The 20,831-nt window shown below is 40.5% G+C and overlaps 1 pseudogene; it reads right to left on the bottom strand.

Annotated features, from left to right (window-relative positions):
* OR5M14P (olfactory receptor family 5 subfamily M member 14 pseudogene) lies at nucleotides 794-1,147 on the bottom strand (annotated as a pseudogene).

Genomic DNA, 20,831 nt, shown 5'->3' on the forward strand with positions numbered 1-20,831 from the left:
TTTCTGCTTCCTCCATGACACATCTCAAAGGAAGGATGTTGAGTTAGAAACTTACCATCCCAACATTTTTGTTTAATCTCCTATAAAATATATCCAGGTTTCAAAAGACAGTGTGGCTCCATCAACATGATGATTTATTTGACACAGGTACCTGCGCAAGGGAGGACTAACAGAGGGGGGTCCGCACAGTCAAAGTGGTTGATCTCATTGGATCCTCAGAAGGACAGAAGAAGCATCCGGATGGTCTGTGCCAGATAGTTTGCAAAGCCATATATTTAAGAAACAGAAGCCAGAGAGAGGCAGACAAATCTGGACATTTTACTACCATATAACAAGGGCTTGCAAATGGCCATGTAGCAGTCATTAGCCATCACTGTAAGCATATGATAATCTCTGATTATCAGGACAATGAAAAAGTAGAATTATAAAACATAACCAACCTGTGTATGTACTTTTGAACCTAAAATAAAAGTTAAAAAACAAAAAAACCGGCCAGATATGGTGGCTCATGCCTGTAATCTCATCACTTTGGGAGGCCAAGGCAGGTGGATCACCGGAGGTCAGGAGTTCAAGACCAGCTTGGCCAGCATGGCGAAACCCCGTCTCTACCAAAAATACAAAAATTAGCCAGGTGTGGTGGTGTGCACCTGTAATCTCAGCTACTCGGTAGGCTAAGGCAGAGGATTGCTTGAACCCGGGAGGCGGAGGTTGCACTGAGCCGAGATCGTGTCACTGCCTGGGCGACAGAGCGAGACTCCATCTCACAAAAAAAACAAAAAACAAACAAAAAAAAAAACTTACACAACCAATGAAGAAAATGGTTTTTCTCTTGGATAGGAAATTAACCAATATCTGAGGAGTGACATTGAGAGTATAACAGAGAACTGCAAAGGAGAGGTGACTGAGGAAGAAGTACATTGGAATGTGAAGTTTTCAGTCACTTCTAATGATCAAAATCATGCTCAAATTGCCCATTACCATAATAAGGTAAATGACCAGGAACGTGACAGAAAAAAAGGACAAGCTGCAACTCGGCTTGATCTGTCGGTCCCAGGGGAATAAACTCAGCTATGGCTGTCCAGTGTTTCTTTGACATTGTATTTGCTTGGCTTCTAATGAGGTCTAAAGAAAAGAAAAGAAAAGAGAAAGCATTTGTCTTTTGTCATTTAGCCATTTCCAAAAAAGACAGTATGGCTACTTTTAGTCTCCTGTAATTGTTTCTTGGTCCCATGAATGAGATAACATTTTACTGTAAAGAGGTGAAAATGTGTGGGTTTGCAAAATGTAAAAACAAAGTCGGAAGATTCAGAAGGATGAGCCACACTACACATAAAAGTGCATTAATGACTTATTTTATAATCATAGAGGATTCTGTGCTTTGAAAAGAAAGTACTTTTTAAAAAGAAGATATTATTTCTTTAAAGTTTAGCAAAATTTGTCTTCCAACTTCGTAATATTTAAGCCATAATGAAAAGTATTTTCTTTTGTTTCCTTTCTTATGCTCCGAACTAGTAAGTTCTTGTCCATAGAGTTGAGCAAACTTTCCTCCCATTTCCTTCCATCCTCACCCACTTTGTGATCTCAGATGAACCAGCTTCATATGTAGCCTGCCCCTCCACCACTGCTCCTTTTTTTTTAACCATAAATAAGCATGTAATGGGTAGAAAGTTTGTTTAAAATTTAAATTATGCCGGCCAGGTGCAGTGGCTCATGCCTGTAATCCCAGCATTTTGGGAGGCCGAGGCAGGTGGATCACAAGGTCAGGAGTTCAAGACCAGCCTGGCCAACATGGTGAAACCCCGTCTCTACTTTAAAAATACAAAAATGAGCCAGGCATGGTGGCATGTGCCTGTATCAGGAGGCTGAGGCAGGAGAATTGCTTGAACCCAGGAGGCAGAGGTTTCAGTGAGCTGAGATCGCGCCATTGCGCTCCAGCCTGGGTGACAGAGCGAGACTCGATCTCAAAAAGAAAAAAAAAATTGCCTATACACCAAAGGATCCCATAATGAGTGGGAGAAAAAGTTACTGGGTAGGAAGGTAGATAGATAATAGACAGATGGAGATGGATAATTTTTCCCCTCTCCAAAATAGGAAAAATATGCTTGTGGCTGCATGGAAAAAAATCTTAAATATTTCAAACACTTGACTATTTCTGATGAGGGATAGACAAGGGAGTAAGAGGTGTCATTTTTAATTTTATCCACTTACCTATTGTTTTGGATTTTTCCAGTGAATAATTATTACTTTGATAATTACTTAATCATTTGATTTTTAAATCAAGAACTGAATTTATAGAGATACTTAACCATGGTAGTGGGGGTATTTCTAAAAGAGAAACTATTTTTTAAAATACAAGATGTCTTTAACTTGAGAATGTTGCGATAGAGAAAGTTAGTTCTTTGTAACCTATCGCACACATAGAAATAATGCTAACCTATTTAACATAGCTGAACTACCATATATTTGGGTAGAAGATATTCATTTCAAAATTAATGGCTCAACAAAAAAAATTACATGTAAAAAAAAGTTTTTCCTAAATGTCTTCGTTAGAAACAGATGATCTTTTTGCAGAGACTGAAGGAAACTTCTGAGTACACCAAAGGCTTGCTAACACTGATTCTTTATTATGTTGTCTGAGGTTCCAGTGTTTGACTTTTATCCTTATTACTACTAGTGTTACCCTTACATACATTAAACAGGATAAAGGTTTTTTGTTGTCATTTTTCCCGTTTTATTTTTGTTTCTGTTTTGATGCATGATGAGAAAAAGAGGTGGAAGAAGTTATGTGTAACAGGAGAAAATTGCTCAGGAAAGAAAAAGAGATCCCTGAGGTCTTGGACAAAAGTTTAAGAGAGACACAACAAAGAAAGATGTGCTCAAAGAAGATATGCATATAGATATGAGGAGGGGATTAGCTGAATATAAACAACTGAATTACAGCTGTTGAAAAGCAGTGGTGAGGGGCAGGGTAGATGCAGTATGTTCACCCTTCAAGAGAAGGTAATACTTGGGTTCAAACAATTCCACGTTTTGCCAGAAGGTGGAGCAGTTGTCTCAGTGTGGCTTGGTTGCTGTTTCTTGTGACCTCTGACTGGGTAGGGAGATTTAAAAATAATAAAAATAAAAATAAAAAAGCACAGTGCAACAATCTATTTGCATTACAGGATTTCCTAAGTCAGGAGTTTGTAACTTGAGGAGTCCTTATAACAGACTTTTAAGTAGCTTCAACCATTTTGTATATGACTAGAATAATCTCTATTCATCTCGAATAGAAAAGATGACAGAGGAAAAGTTGACTTATCTTAAAATCACAAAGAAAAGTTTCTCAACCCACTCAAAAGTTGTAAGAGGAGAAAACTTTTGAGCAATAATTTAAAGTCACTTTGGACAATGCTTAGTGCATCAAGAATCTTCAAATACTGAGTTTGGTTATTCATCAGGTCTTATATATCCAAGTACATATGGCTTCTAACATGACTTAAAAAGCTTACAGACCATAGTCTTTAAAAATCATCCTTGTTGATTGATACTTAACGACATTGATTCTGCTGTATTAGATTGAGTGGTTTATTTTAAGCTACAGTGCAAAGAGCAGTACTTTGCTTGAAAACAGTAAAATAATAATGATAATCATTTTTCTTCTCCCCCTCTTTTAGGCTTTGACCAGGAGAGAATAACTACAAGAAACTACTAATTTACAAAATGTGCAGATGACCTAGTTTATTCATAACCATAGGAGTTTTAATTTATTAAGCAACAATTTAATATAAGCAGTGCTAGTAATTCTAGTTTACTGTGTGTTTTGTAGGAGAATAATGTATTACTTAATGGGGAAGATAAATTTCTTATTGGAAAATTTTAATAATGAACAAAATTATGTTTGGGTATTTCCATGGGAAGTAATTAGTTGCAAAACTGTCCTTCCCTGAAGTGTGGCGGTATTGGTGGCAATTGCTATTTAGTGGTGAATTCCCTTCTAAACGATGTACTCATGCCTTGCTGCAGTAGAGTGAAGGGAGGACCAGGAATGGAATGACCCATGTGAGAGGTCCAGAGCTGGGAGGAAAGCTCATTAAAGAAGCTCCTGACATCCATTAGCTCCAATCCCTGCTCCTAGCTACCACCGTGGGGATACGGAGACTGAGGATTCTGCTCCACTCTCCCAAATGACTTGCCAGGCTGCAGAAAGCCTAGGTACCCAGCATATGTCTCTCCTTTTGGCTTGCTAAACTGCTTAAAACTTGTTCCTGCCACTGAAAAGACCCCTTTGCATCAAGGTATAAGCTCTAGAAAGCCCTTGGTAAAATGCAAATGTTAAACCAGATGAGGAACTTATTAATTCGTGTGAATCTGTGAGCACTTGGGCATTCATTAGTAATTATGTTATAGAGAAGTTTTGGAAACTGACCATGAATTATTAAAACCCTGCAAGTGACAAAACCCCAATTTGAACCAGCTTAAGCAAATAAGAAACTTACTGGCTTGCAAAGCTGAGAAGATGCATGTGGTAGGTCATGGAATTAAGGGGAGAGCTTCAGGAACAAAGTCACATGGTCTGGAACCAAGAATCCAACACCATCAGAATTCTCTCAACCCATCTCCCAATTTGTTTTATCTCTGGGTGTTGACATAATACTCTATTACTGAAGATGACCTTTCTCCATCCAGCCAAGGACAATTCATGTGGCAAGATTGGTGCTTATATTATCCCAGCTTAGCAACGCCAAAAAAAAAAAGAAAAAAGAAACAGAGAGATCCCATATTTCATCTGGTATCCACATATCAATCCCAAGGAAGCCCATGTATGTGTGGTTCAATAGGTCACATGCCTACCCTTTGGACCAATAACTATTGGAATGGACACCATGATTGGTTCAGTCTGGGACATCTGACTATCTCTGCGGACAGAGAAGAAGGATGCCATGATAGAATTCCCCAAAAGAGTCCCATGAAGTAGAAAAAGAGTTCTCACACAGAGAAAAGGAAACTAGTACAAGATATAAGACCCAAAAAGCTATTATTCCTCACTGTAGAAGAAAAAAAGTCTAGCATTTTCTGAAGGCATTTTCCATTTTTATTTTTATTTTGTTTCTAGGTTTCACCCTACAGATTTTGTATGTGTGGTGGCTTTTGTGCAGACCCACTGTCGGTCTCCTTGGTAAAGATAGTAAGCTGAGGAAACCCAGCCAACTGAAAAGTAAAACTAATGAGCAGTATTTTAAAGGTGGAATCTAAGCTGCTATCACAAAGGTCTCCCAATATTGCGTGGCTTAAACATGAAAGGCTTAACATTACTCTCCCATGTAATAGTCCAGAACTTAAGAGTCCAGGCTTGTAGAGCAGATCTGCCATCTTCAGCATGCAGCTCCCTTCCCATCCGAGGTGGCTGCTTTATATTTTATGTGCATCCTAAACATCAGAAAGCATGAAGGGGCAAGGAAAGCCCTACTCATTTCTCTGTAAGGTGCAAGTTGAATATGGTACAATCCCTTTGCCTAGAACAGACATGTGATCACACTGAGGTTCAAGGAAAACAGGAAATGTAGTCTCTGGCTGGGCAGCCATGTGTCCAGCTGAAACTTCAGAGTTGGGTTATTATAGGAGGAGAAAAATGGATATTGATGAATGATAAGCAGTCACTGCCATACAGCATTATTCCTGATGGCTTGCAGATGAGCTAGAAGGCCAAAGAAAGACTGAACAACTCCTCAGGGTTACATGTCATCCCTTTCTTCCCTTCTCTTCAGAAGCAACACTAGCCCAGTGCAGGGGAGTCATCTGCTGGGAAAAGTGGGAGCAGGAGCTGTAAGGCAATAGGGAAAAGCGCCAGAAGCAGAGCCAGTATTCAGTCAATAGCCACTAATATGGCTGCACTCATTGTGAAAATATTAAAATATAGCTGTACCATTGGGTAAAGGGTCAGTCCCCTAAGTTCTTTTGGATGCCTGTCTGAGACCGTATCTACCCCAACTCCTCTCCTGAGACTGTCATGCATCTCCCATGATGCAGCAGCTAAAGCGTTAATGTCTGGCTCAGAGAGAGTCTCTAGAGATCAGAGCCTCTGTGATGGATACTCCACTGTGATCAGCCGGTGCTGATTGGTGATAGTTTGAAGATCATCCTTGGCTAGAAGCCTAACACACAGTGACCTACCTCAGCCACCAAATTCACTCTAAAATAAAGATAGAAGTGCAATGGATGGAGGTTACTGAACCTCATCCTTATTGTGCATTTGAAATCTTGCTATAGATACCAAGATTCTGAAGTTGAGTCAGATTTCCGTGACTCATGACATCAGCGAACATGACCTGTAGGTGATGTTTATTTTGATAGAAGGGAAAAAGTTCAGTTTCTGAGTGAGAGAAAGTCCGATGATGTCTCTAAAACAATGCAAATAAGCCATTGAGAAGTCAAAATGTGGGAAAGCCAGAATTAATCTAAAAGAGGGCCCTCCCAAGGGCATCTTCACACCACTGAATCCTTCTTTCAGCTGGGTTAGAGAGGTGCGATGGAATAGGAAGATTTGGGGATAGAAGGTCTGGATACTAGTGTAAGTAGTGGAAAGAATGGGTTTGGAGCCTGTTTCTCTGATTACAATCTGTACAGCTAGTCTCCATATCTGTAAAGTAGAGGATAATAATACTGTCTTTACCACAAATATAAAGGCTATAAGGGTTGAATGAATTAGGCATGCTGGGGGACTGGTATGCAGTAGACACTCAATACAAATAAGTCCACATTTCTTTTGCTTTTATTCTCTTGTCCTCTTCCCCCACTTACCCACACCCAGACACATATCACCTCCCACACACACTTGCATAGGAATTTGTAGTGGAACCACAGTCAGGTAACTTAATGTATTTCTTGGGTTTTTAACATGAAAAAACAAGGAGAATGCCACATTTCTTGAGTGATGATGAGATTATGAATGCACAGCGGATACAGATGTGAAGGACTACTAGTGTGGTCAAGAGGAGCAAAAGGAGGTGACAGATTTACATATTTTCCATGCATAGCTCCATAATTTCTACAGCGTAACTTATAAACCATCAACACTAAACATTTCAGTTTACTTCTGGGTTAAAGCAAGGATATGTAACATTGAATATACCAATAATTACAGCAAACAATTCCATCTTTTAAAATGTGCCTGGCCCAAAGTAGACACTCAATCAGTATCTGTTGAGTAGAATGGATTAGTGATGAATCCAGCAGATTTTTTAAGGCAAAGGCAACAAAAAATAGAATGTACTTAAGGTATGCATGCACTTATTTCATACCAAACCCAGACTAATGTTTGAAGAAATGAAAATGAACCAGCTCATGAATTAAGCTGAAATTTACACTTCTCCTCCAACTAGTAATTACTTTAAGGAGAGCCTCTGCCTCAGTCATTGTCAGCTAAGAGATGAAAATGCATGCTTTTTCTAAATGTATATTTGAATTTCCAAAGTCTTGCATTTCACATGAAGAACCATATTTCAGTCAACATTTCCACTTACTAAAAGGAAATAATCAACGAATAAACTTTGTTTTTGAAGAAATACCTTTGTAAAGAGAAGTCGAAATTTATACATAATTCATGAATTGGCAAATGCTTTTTCTGTGTTTCTTTAGCATTGCTCACGTAAAACACCTGGCCCAGAGGTGCAAAGTACGCCTTCTCTCTGCAGAGCCATCAACAAGTGTTTGTTGAGTGTCTTTTGGACTCTATACTAGAGAATCACAAGGTGGTGGCAAGAAACCATTAGAGACAGGGAGGGATGCCATCAAGAGAATTTCTAATGTGTTAATAAAACACATTCCCTCAAATTAGATCTGGTTTGGGGGGAGTAAAATTTGGAAGGTTAGAAAAAAAGGGAACATGTGGCTATTCCTTTAGGAAGGGCCTTGTGGGCCATAATAAAGAATTTAGACTTTATCCTATAGCAACAGGAAGCTGTTAAAGATGTTTGGTGGCATGTGTAGAGTGATAGAGAAATTGACCAGATCTGTACTTTGGAAAAATGATACTGGCAACTTAGGCAGGATGAATGGGAGGGGCTAAGCCTGAAAGCAAGGGGCTAATCAAGGAGGCTGTTACAAAAGCCCAGGTAATAAATGCAGGGAGTGCTGACCTCAGACCATTTCCATGAGGACACTGATTAAAGCGGGGTGGGGGACGGTTCAGGGAATATTAAGGGGATGGAATCAATAAGCATCTGAGGACAGGCAGGGGAGAGCACTTGTGGGTCAAAACTGACAATAAGACTCAAATGAGTCTTAAACAAATTTAAATGATAGATTAATCACAGAGGTGAAGTTAGACAGTTTTCCATTGAATCCTTACCTCTCATGGCATGTAACTGCAAGATTTGTTGATTTCTGTATTGTATGTGTGGAATGCTGGTCTGATTTTCACTTGTTTAAAATCCAGTATTATTTGGACTGTTCATCTCCTCTATTCTTCAGGTTTTCGGAAACCTGCCCTGGGTTACTCATCCCAGACACCTCTTTTCAGCTAGGGCAGTGACCAGAGATGGGACCTCTGGCAGTGACAGAGGAGACAAACCTTTTATTTATCCTAAAATTTTAAACTTTTTATCAATGTATAGATAAAGTAAACCTCATTCTATCAATTTTGGCAAAAAAAAAACCGAGCTTACTTAAATAGAGTACACATTTTAGGACCTCAAAACTTAAAATTACTACATTCTTAGTCCCACATAGAGGCCTACATTATAATATTGTGTTTGCAAAGTATGGCCTAGGTACCATTGGTTAAGGTAATACATAGACGAATATGGCTTTTTGTCCTTTTCAAAGATTATGTAAGTCTTTGATTTCTAGTTATACCAAGTCATCGTTTTCATTTTTAATAGTGATAGGAAGTTTCCTTTTCAAATAAATTTATGTAGATAAAGAAAACTAGTTCAATGACAAGAAAAATAATAAATAACATAGGAGGTTATCTGATGTGTCAAAAATTGTGAAGGTGACACAAGAGTGAATGAAGTTTGGGGAACACAAGGCAAGTAGGCAGAACGTGGGACTCAAAAATCAAGCCCCAGCTTGGCTACAAGTAATCAGGGTCTGAAGTAAGTTGGGCAGTTTAGTTTGGATGAATCTCATCTGTGAAATGAGGATGGTAACATCCACCTCATAGGGTCTTAATCAAAAGAGACAGAGTATGTGATGGCACCCTGAAATCTGCCAAGTGCATTAGGAACGTTAGCTTTTATTGTTGTGACAGGTGCCGGGATGTTCAGGCGCTGATTTACAATTGCTTTTCCAGAGAGAAATTGTAGCACCGGGAACCCACGTCCCCTGCACAGTGTACTGGGCCCTAAAACGCATCTGTTGCTTCCTGATGATCTTATCAATCTTTAGGGGAAGGAGTTTATTGATTTGTTTCCCTTAGAAGTGCTTCTGTGAATTGATCTGACCGTTTAGATGTTGCAGGCTTGCTAATGTCTCTGCCTGCGTCCCAGGCTGTGGTTGGAAATGATCCTGCTGTGGGGAAAAGGCCGGATCATTCTGACATTCTCCAGTCTGGCCTGGCTCCTCAAGGTCTGAACAACGCCTGAGCTGATGCTTAACTCCTACAGAGTTCTGGTTGTTCAAAAACAACACCGGTAATCTCAGAATGTGGTTCTACTCTGAGCAGTAGCTGGGCTGAGGATGGTGGGTGTTTCTATGCGTCTTTTTCATTTAAAACATCCAAAGGCACAGGGGGAGGGAGCAAAGAATGACATACACTCCCCAAATAACCACTTCTACGATTTTTTTCCAATTCAAACATAGGTTCAAGGGAGGCAGCAGAACCACTGAATAAAGTGCATGGGGTTTTAAATCCGTGTTTCTGCTTCTTCCTGAGCAACCTCAAGCTAGTTATTCATCCCCCTACCAAAGCCCAAGTTTATACATCTGGAAAGTGAGGATATTAGTAATACCCACAAATAAAGTTTTGCTGTGAGGACTGAATGATGTAACTTATGCTCTGAGCAGTTGAGCTCTACATCTGTGCAGGGCTACACAGCAGGGTCTGGACCCATAAATTACTTTCTCCGAAAATGTTTAAGCAATTGTTAAGCCTTGGTTAAGCACAATCCATTTATCACCTGCAATAGACGTCCCACACCCTCAGACTGAAAAGGGTTGGCATTCCTGAATCAGCCTACTGTAATACTTACCAAACGGGATGGTAACTTGGACACTGTGTCAGGGAAGAGGCACTTGGTCCTCTGCTTTTAGGAAAAAGTCTTGGCCCACAAAGAGGGAGGACCTAATGATGTAATCTTTGTCATTTGGGATCAACCTCCTAAATGCAACCTAATATGGCTCCTTCTGGCTGTCCTACTGTTAATTATGCTCTGAGGAAGGCTGCCTGAAACAAAAGTGATGGGCAAGGAGAGGAGATGATCTGGGCCATGGTCCAGCATCCAAAGTGGACCCCTTGGGGATCCTACCCACACCCAGAGCACCACTGAGTTCCTACTACCCCAACTTTTGGGGCCCAGGAGGCACCTGGTACAGGTAAACATTCAGTGGTACAAGCATGTGGTTTAAAATCTGTGAAATCATTCACAATAAGCAAAAAGCTCTTAAATATTTAATCACACATGGGACTACGCACAAATATTGCTTTGTGCACAATCAAGATCTTTATGGGGTCATGAAGAAGGTTTTATTCACTAGTGTGTGAGTGTATTGTGTATGACCAGATGCAGTAGGGCAGAGTGGTCTCTAAAATCAGGCTTAGCTGAGTTCAAATCAAATTCCAGCTTTGCTATGTACCAGCTGTGGAATTTTGAGTAAGCTACTTAATCTCTTTTAAGTCCTGGTTTCTTTGTCTCTAAAATGAGGATAATCATAGTACCTTCTTATGAGGTTGTTGCCAAGATTAAATGAGATAATGCATATAAAGTGCTTAGCACAGTTTCAGCATATGGCAAAGCCTGAATAGAAGTTAACTATTATTATTATTGGCCATCAGTGCCAGGTTTCCTTTCTCATGAGCATACAGAATGTTTCTAGACCTGATGCAAAAAGGTTGCATAATCTCCCTAATCCAGTTCTTGGGAAGGTTGTTCCCTGTTCCATTGTAACATTTTTGGAGAAATATAGATGATGCCGGCATGTGAGTTTGAAAGAAGACACAGGTTGCATTTTAAGACATTGATTTTCGGCCTTATGACCATTGTGGTTTTTTTTATTAACCCAAGATTCTCCTGCTCAGAAAGTTTTTTCTTAGTAAAAGAAAGCCACATCTTGACGCTACCCCTGTAGTCACTTTCTCATTCATGGGACCATCTCTCAGACCTATTAGTGCTAGGGTTGACTGGGACTGGTTTTCATGTCATTCTAAATGAAAAACTTGTTCTAGGATCTCCCAGTGAATCACAAACAAATTGGGTAATTCATGTGGACAGTACCCAAGTCCATGAATATTACCCAGGGGCATAAAAACCTTAAATGAACATCTTACTAGTGGGTGTTGTGAAATAATTATGGACTTTGATGAATTATCTAATCCATCAGCCACTTAATGGCTTTTTTTTTTTTTGGTGGAGTTTCACCCTTGTTGCTCCGCCTGGAGTGCAGTGGCGCGATCTCAGCTCTGCACCTATGTTCAAGCAATTCTTCTGCCTCAGCCTCCCCAGTAACTGGGATTACAGGGGTGTGCCACCACGCCCAGCTAATTTTTGTAATTTTAGTAGAGACAGGGTTTCACCATGTTGGTCAGGCTGGTCTTGAACTCCCGACATCAGGTGATCCACCCGCCTCAGCCTCCCAAAGTGCTGGGATTACAAGCATGAGCCACCATACCCAGCCTAATGGCTCTTTTTAAAAAATCATTTAAATTTCTCCATCTTTGCACCTGCAGCAGCCTGGAATGTCATTCTCATACCCCAGTCCATCTGGTGAATACTACTGAATATTCAACATTAATGTCAACTCTTCAAGGACACCTCTTATGTTTGTTAAGATATTGGTTCAGTTATTTAACACAGGTTAAACAATTGCCAATGGAATACGTTTATGTATTTTACTGCACAAATCTATAGAGGGCAATAGGATGGCTCTACCCCAAGGAGTCACTCATGGCCCCAGGCAGCTTCTGTTGTGCTGCTTGGCCATCCCCCAAATCTTACCCTCATTGGTGCAGTTGAAGATGACTCATCATCCTCATGTCTACTTTCTAGCCTCCTGCAAAAAGGAAAAGAAGTACTTCAGGGCAAGCAGCTTTCGTTCACCTAGAAGTGGCATGTATCCTTTCTGCTCAAACCCATGGCACATGGCCATGTCTAGCTTCAAGGGAAGCTGGGAAACGTAGTCTCTATCTGAATGGCCATGTGCAAACTCCCCAAAAAACAAGGAGTTCTCTTGCTAACTGGAAGAAGAGAATGCTTATTAAGGGACAGTTAGCAATCTCTGCCACACTACTTTTTAGCATTCCAAGCACCATTAGAAATGTAGGAAGAATTTTGCTGTCTTTTTTTGTTTATTCGTTTGTTTTTGAAACCAAATACCACGCAGCTAGCTAAAATAGGCAAATCTACAGGTTTTCATAGGAAATGGTCTTTGGGATATGTATGTTAAGTAAAAAATACAAGTATAGAAAAGATGTATAATGTAATAACATCTGTATTTATACACACACATATGTAGAGAGAGACTGTTCTCAGAAGGATACAAAAATAACTACTACTGGTTACTTTGGGGAAACAGAGGTAAGAGAGAGATACACTTTTCACTAAATAACCTTTAAAATCTTTTTTAATTTTTAGACTGCATGTGTATATGTGTGCAATTTTTTTAAAACGTTGAAATCGCTGAATTATTCAGACTTCTTTTTACTTATTACAAACTATTTTTTCTGCAAGGAGGTGTGAACGGCATGGAAGCTAGTCTCAACCAGTTATAGCACTGATGGTACCAAAGGACTTTCTTACCAAAGAAAAACTAACTCCAAGGCTAACATTTAGATGTGGTTCCCTCCTACTAAGCAGAAACTGTTGGAGCAACAGAATCCTGGGTGAATAAAAAGGCATAATTATCTTAAGTCCAGAAAAATCAACTCCTCAAAGAATAGCTTGCACCTTAGGTAGCCTCCCACACGAATATCATCTATGCGTCTCAAAGGACCTACAATGAACATGAAACAACCTTTTAAATGGGTTACCATATTTCTGCAAATAAATGTATGCTGAAATTTTCATCTTTTTTTAAAACTTTTATTTTATTTATTTATTTATTTATTTATTTATTTTGAGACAGAGTCTCACTCCATCACCCAGGCTGGAGTACAGTGGTGCAATCTCAACTCACTGCAACCTTTACCTCCTCGGTTCAAGCGATTCTCCTGCCTCAACCTCCTGAGTAGCTGGGATTACAGGAGCCCACGACCACATCCAGCTACTTTTTTTATTTTTAGTAGAAACAGTGTTTCACAATGTTGTCCAGGTTGGTCTCGAACTCCTGACCTCAAGTGATCCACACATCTCAGCCTCTCAAAGTCCTGGGATTACAGGTGTAAGCCACCACGCCGGGCCTTTTATTTTAGGTTTAGGGGTACGTGTGCAGGTTTTCTAATATAGGTAAATTACTTGTTGCAGGGATTTGGTGTGCAAATTGTTTCATCACCCAGGTAATAAGTATAGTACCCTGTAGGTAGTCTTTTGATTCTCACCCTCCTCCCACCCTCCACCCTCAGGTAGGCCCTGATGTCTGTTGTTCCCTTATTTTTGTTTGTATGTACTCAGTATTTAGCTCCCACTTATAAGTGAGAACATGCAGTATTTGGTTTTCTGTTCCTGTGTTAGTTTGCCTAGGATAATGGCCTCCAGCTCCATCCACATTCCTGCAAAGGACATGATCTCATTCTTTTATGGCTGCATAGTATTCCATGGTGTATATGTACCACATTTTCTCTATCCAGTCTACCACTGATGGACATTTAGGTTTATTCCATGTCTTTGCTATTGTGAATGTGCTGTGATGAACACACATGTGCATGTGTCTTTATGGTAGCACAATTTATAATCCTTTGAGTATATACCTAAGTTCGTCAATCTGCTTTCCACAATGGCTGAACTAGTTTACATTCCCACAGCGGTGCATAAGCGTTCCCTTTTCTCCACAGTCTCACCAGCATCATCTTTGTGTTTGTTTGTTTCTTTTTTCCCCCATCAGTAGAGTGCTTAGAGAAAATAAAATTTAATCTTTTCAGAATTTTCTAAGAAATGACCTTTTTGTGTTTCAATGGACCTGAACAAAATTCCAGCATAAGTAGATGAATGGCCTCAGACATTTTCAATCGTTATTTATTTATTTATTTATTGAGACAGAGTTTTGCTCTTGTTGCCCAGGCTGGAGTGCAACGGCGTGATCTCGGCTCACCGCAGCCTACACCTCCCAGGTTCAAACAATTCTCCTGCCTCCGCCTCCCAAGTAGCTGGGATCACAGGAATGCCCCACCACACCCAGCTAATTTTGTATTTTTAGTAGAGAGAGGGTTTCACCATGTTGGCCAGGCTGGTCTCAAACTCCTGACCTCAGGTGATCCACCCACCTTGGCCTCCCAAAGTGCTGGGAATATAGACTTGAGCCACCATGCCTGGCCCAAATGTCCTTTAGGTTGTAGCTTCTTTCCAGTCAATCAAAGGCAAGAATGGGCATATAGAGGAGTTTCCATGAATGATTGTTCCAATATATGGTCAGGTACAGGGACGTTAATATGTCTGAATATTTTAACAGCACCCGGGCTTCCAGTGACAAGGTAGGAAAACTTTACTACAATGTGAAGCAGAGTCTATATATCTCAAGAAATTGTTGTCCACTTTGTTTTAAATCAATATTGGAGAGCACACTTTTTCTAGCCTCAAAAAAAAGATAATTGGTTAAGAAAACAGTAATATTTTTCACTCTTCCCTCTCTGCTAATTTATGTTGCTCTGACTTAAGACTAAGATGGAGGGTGTATGTAAATTATATCTGTAAGAAATCAAAGACATTATGGAGGAAGGTAAAGGGGGTGATGGGTTTCTCGTATTATTCTCTACTTTTAAAAAAATTGAGATATGATTCACATACCATAAAATCCATCTTTTTAAAGTATATAATTCAGTGGACTTTTGAATATTGACGAAGTTGTGCTGCCATCACCACTATGTAATTCCAGAACGTTCTCATCACCCTCTCTGGCTTTTAACATTTGCTTAGGTTGTGAGCAGAAAGGCTAAGGGCAAGGACAGGCACGGTGACTCACGCCTGTAATCCCAGCAATGTGGGAGGCCAAGGTGGGTGGATTGCCTGAGGTCAAGAGTTGGAGACCAGCCTGGCCAACGTGGTGAAACCCTGTCTCTACTAAAAATACAAAAACTAGCCAGACGTGGTGGCAGGTGCCTATAATCCCAGCTACGTGGGAGGCTGAGGCAGGAGAATTGCTTGAACCCGGGAGGCAGAGGTTGCAGTAAGCCAAGATCATGCCACTTCACTCCAACCTGAGCTGAAGAGTGAAACTCCACCTCAAAAAAAAAAAAAAAAGAAAGAAAGAAAGAAAGAAAAAGAAAAGAAAGGCTAAGGGCAGTACTGAGTTCTAGGCCATGCTAGTGACTCTTCTGGACCCTGGGAGCCCCAGGCGATGGGACTTTGGGGTCAAGGGACTTGTGTTTGGAGCTCATCTCTAGTACATACCAGCTTTGGGGGCTTGAGCAAGTTGCTCAGCTTTTCCATCACTTGGATTTCTTTTCATAACAATACCATCTACCCCAGAAGTCTTGAAACCCTATACAGATAACAAAGGCAAAACAGCTAGCCGAGTATCTAACACATAGCAAATACTCCAGAAAGCACAATATCTTAAGTTTCAAACAAGTCAGGTTTACATTCCTCCTTTGTCCAAGGTGGCCATGCCACTGGGGCTGTAAAGAAATTAGGTTTTGCACCCAGGCTCTTCCTGTTCTGGAAATCATCGCTTAAATCATCTGAGAAGTCATATAGCAAGTAGTCATCCACTATGTTCCCTAATGAAATTATATCCAGGTAAGAGGCCTTTATTCCCCTTGATGTCTGACTTTCCCCAGAGGGAGGTCTTTGACATCAAACACATGGCTAAAGTAACATTATTGTTCAATCACTTGGCCTTGGGGTAATCCAACAAACCCAATAGCTTCAAGTTCAGACAAAAAGTAAAGTAAGCGACAGCTAGGTAACTAAGGAATTCCTTTCATGTTTTTTTAAAACACCTTTTTAACATATTGATTAAAAGGCTGAGCTTTAGACTGAGTCTTGCTTTGCCATTATTAATGATATGACCTTGGGTAAGAGTCAATGGATTTGAATCTCGATAGTGTGGTGCACGCAGCACAGTGCCCAGTCCATATAAATCCTCCATAAACAGTAACAGGGTGCTCCAGTCCTGCTGAATCACCTCCTGCTCCTCCGAATCACCTCCTGCTCTCCCCGGCTTTCTTACTGTCACCTCCACATCCAGCCAGTGGCCTATAAAACCCTGGAACTTTCTTTGTGCAACTTGGAGGGCTTGTTTTATTTTCTTTTGTCCCTTGAAGGAGCATGAGATAGGTTTAAAACTTCTCTAAGATTGCTTCCACCTATGAAGTAAAATGATTACATGCTCTGATCCTGAAGAAATGTTCTTAGAATCAAAGCTTCACAGAGACACGGAACACCCTGTTCTCATCAGCTAGCTAGGAGCCAGGAATGACATCCAATCCTAGTTTTTTGTGTGGATGCCATAGACTCCATGGCAGCCTGGTGACATCCAAGAATCCCTTCTCAAGATAATGTTTTAAAGTATAAACAATAAGGAGCATCTCCCCCGGAGGGCAAGGCTGGGGAGATGTTGGTTAAAGGATACAATGTTTCAGTTAGGTGAAAGGAATAGTTTAAGAAATCTATCGTACAACATGGTGACTATAGTTAATAATAATGTATTGTTTTCTTGAAAGTCACTTAGAGGGTGGATTTTAAGTGTTCTCACCACAAACACACAAAAATAGTAAGTAGGTGAAGTGATGTATATGTTAATTAGCTCAATTTAGCCATTCCGCAGTGAATACATATTTCAAAACATGTTGTACACAATAAATATATGTAATTTTTGTCAAATAAAGATAATTTTTAAAATTGCTTAATAAATAAATAAAATTTTTTAAAGGAAAGATAATCTTTAAAAGTACATAGGATTACAACAGAAGCCAATGGAAACAAAGTTATAAAAAATGGTTTAAAACAAATTTGTGCTGTAGTAGCTTATGTGCTTCTTCAGTAATGCATTAAATAACAAGATATAATGTCTGATCTAGTATATATCATAATTTCAAACTTAGGATGAATACAAATGATCTATCAAGATAGCTTCAAAAACTCCATTGTGAAATGAAAATATCTGTGATTTCCACTGGCTACAAAGTCACAGGTACTGATAATTACTACTGTGGCTACGTTGCCCACATTCATCACTGAAGAAAATGCTGCATTTCAGGTAGAAGTTAGTGAAAGTATATATGTATTTTTCCCTTTCTCCCTTGAATTCTATCCATGAACCCAGGGTTGAGAACCCCTGCATTAAGCCAAGACTAACACAATTCAAAATATCTACCATGGCGATGGGGACATGGTCATGGACTGTTTTCAGATAATCCTGCCTGTTGATCTAATGAGGTCACAGGTCTTTGCACTGTGTTTTGCCTTCCTTCCAATATGGAAATGGTGTAAGGTAAAGACATTTAGTCATTATTTATCCACACAGATTTGTAAACAGCCACTCTGGAATGAGGGCTGGAAAATGAAGGATTCAGGTGGGCTTTTGTCATTTGTGCCATCCGTTACGATGGTGATGAATGAGCTTAGAGGCTGACATCCTTTCCTGTCCACCAACTGACGTTCTGCACTTCATAAATGTAACTGTTTTTTCCCTTCCACATTCCATGCCCCTGGCTACTTCTTGTCTTGTTCACTTACCAGAAAAAGACCGGGAGCTGTAAATATGTTGCCTTGCAGAAAACATTCTCCCTCCTCCTGGGGATTGCAAAGCCTTTCAGGCCTTGGGCTTCCTTCTGAGTCTGGCTGGGATTCCATCCCAACACTGCTCTCCTGTTGCCCTTTCTAGCCTTCACCTGCCTCCGGAGTCTCTTGCAAAATCTCCTCCAGGGTCCAATAGTGTGTAACCTTGTGGCCTAAAATGAATTCTTCCTCTTGGAAGGCTCTAAAGAGCAGTGGTTAAGAAGAAACACACACTCCAGAGACCAGCCAGCCAGGGCTGGAATCCATTCCTGTTGCAAACCTACTAACTTTGTAACCCTAAGCATATTACCCAGCTCCTCAATGCCTCAGTTTCCTCACAAGAAAAAAAAATGGAAATGGCACTTTATCTCACAGGGTAGTCATGAGGACTAAACACATTAAAGCTTGTAAGTTTAAAATAGAGCCTGGCATACAGTAGGCACTCAATAAATGTTAGGTGTTTCTTGTCAGCCCCTGACTGATTTTAGTCTGTTCCTGTCCACCCTCAGCAAAGTTCTCGAATTCCAACCTTTGAACAGTCACTCACACTCTATGTTCCTGGACAGTTGATTAAATGACAACTGAGGGCTCTTTTTAATTTTCTAAGGCCTGAGCTGGACAGATCAAGAAAGGATCTAGAAGTTACAGCGTGATCAAGAGCAGCAGCAACCAGCAACAGCATCATGATAATCATATCTGACATTTGCTGAAAACTTATACTATATTAGATGCTTACTGTATATTATATTTAATCCTCTCAACAATCCCATACTCTACATAATTACTCACAGTTTTGGTTGATAAATCAGACACAGAGGGATTAAGTTATTTGCTCCACCAGGTGACACAGTTCCCTTCTCTGAATTGAGGACTATCTCTAACCATAGGCTGTCTTCCTAAGGATATGCAGTGGTCCCAGAGACGCATCTGGAGTGAGTTACGGACAGCTACTATTTGCTGTGTTGTCTACTTCCCTCTACAACCACTCTCTGATTCTCTGCACTCCACCATTTTGAAGGAGACTTGGCTTAGGGGTGGCTCTCTGGCATCGGCTCTGAAGCTTTTGTGAAGTCACATGTGGTCCCAGAGTTGCCAGGAAAAAGGATGCCTTGATAAGCCAAAATGCAAATTTCTTAGGAGAGGAAAAGTGAAAGTGAGCTTGTTCACACTGTGCAGGGTTCCAAGGAAATGACACAATGTGAGAGACAGAGTGTCCTGCCACTAAGGCTCCATCATATTACAGGGATATTATTTTGCATTTCATCATAAACTTGCCTCCCAACAGTTTGCTTCTTTGATCAGTAAGAGAAGCAGAGATGACCCAAATTAAAACGAAGGTGGTATTCAAAATACTAGAGCTAGAGCTGGGTGCCTCCAGACATTTACAATGTAGTCCTCTGGGAAGCTGGGATGGAGGTGGGGGGGCATGGTTGTCTCACCAATCCCCAGAGTTTCCCTTGTCCTGGAGACAAGTCACTCAAAGTTGCTCAAGACCAGGAGAAAGAAATTTGGTGACCCTCATCAGTTTATTCACATCTGAAAGGACTTCTAGGGCCTTCTCTGGGGTTTCCAAAGAAACCCTGTGGCTATTTGTTTTTCCTCTTCTTTCTCTATCCCTCTTCTTCCTCTCTCCACTCATTGCTTTCTTTTTCTCCATTGGTCTTGCCTTTTCCAGAATGCCTGTCCACTAGCCTGCCCAAAAGCTTACAGGGACTTACCTCGTGGGCTTCCATGACTATAGGAAGGTGAACTTTCCTGTGTCCAGGCCCAGGACCTTGATTGCTCTTTTTGCCAATAAATTATTGTTTTTGTGGTCTGCCTGTCTCAGATCTTCTAAGTTATATTTACAACCAAAGACTACAACCCAAGAGTTCCGGGAATTGCTGGCATATTAAACTAGCACAATTAGTGGCACTCTTTATAAACAATGTTGTCTTGGAGACTTTACTGAGGGGCATTTAGAGACAGATTTTTTTAAAAGAATATTTTAAAGCCTTTTATTTTACTCTTTTTTTTTTTTCAGACAGTGTCTCTCTCTGTCACCTAGGCTGGAATGCGGTGGCATGTTCATAGCTCATTGCAACCTCAGCTGTTGGGCTCAAGCAATCATCCCACCTTAGCCTCTCAAGTAGCCAGGACTATAGGCATGTGCCACCACACCTGGCTAATTTTTCTTTCCTTTTTTTCTTTTCTTTTCTTTCTTTTTTTTTTTTTTTTTTTTGCTTAGGCAGGTTTCCAGCTCCTGCCTTCAAGCGATCCTCCTGCCTTGGCATCCCAAAGGATTGGGATTACAGGCATGAGCCACCACGCCTGGCCCTAAAATCCTTCTAGAAAGATGATTCAAAGTTTGATATGATGCAAATATTTGAGATTTCTGAATCAAACTGCCTGATCAAATGCAAGCCACATTTGGATGCTTTTGGCAAGAAGCCCTGATAAATTTAAACCAGATCAGCTGCTAATCCTTAAATCAGAGAAGGCAAACTGTGGCCTCCCTTCAAATGAGGAGAACTGAATTATGTGTTGATTATGCCCAGCCAGAGGGGTATAAAGGTAAGTACCAGAAGTTTACACAGGGATTCTGCTTGGAGAAAGTGGCGCAGTCAAAGGGTCCAAGGAGGAGGCACGATTCCATTTTGGGGCCGTAGTGAGGACCCCTTCCCTCCAAAAGAGATCACTAAGGCTGCCAGAATTCTTCCCCTCACCTGTTCCCAAGGTAGTCCCAGTTCTGGAATTTTCTGGTTTGCATTTCTTACAGGGTAGTTTAGTGGTTCCTATAACCTCTAGAACTTAAAGCACATTGCTGGACCCCACCCCCAGAGT

Source organism: Homo sapiens, chromosome 4, assembly GCF_000001405.40.
Source record: "Homo sapiens chromosome 4, GRCh38.p14 Primary Assembly".
Lineage (NCBI taxonomy): Eukaryota > Metazoa > Chordata > Mammalia > Primates > Hominidae > Homo > Homo sapiens.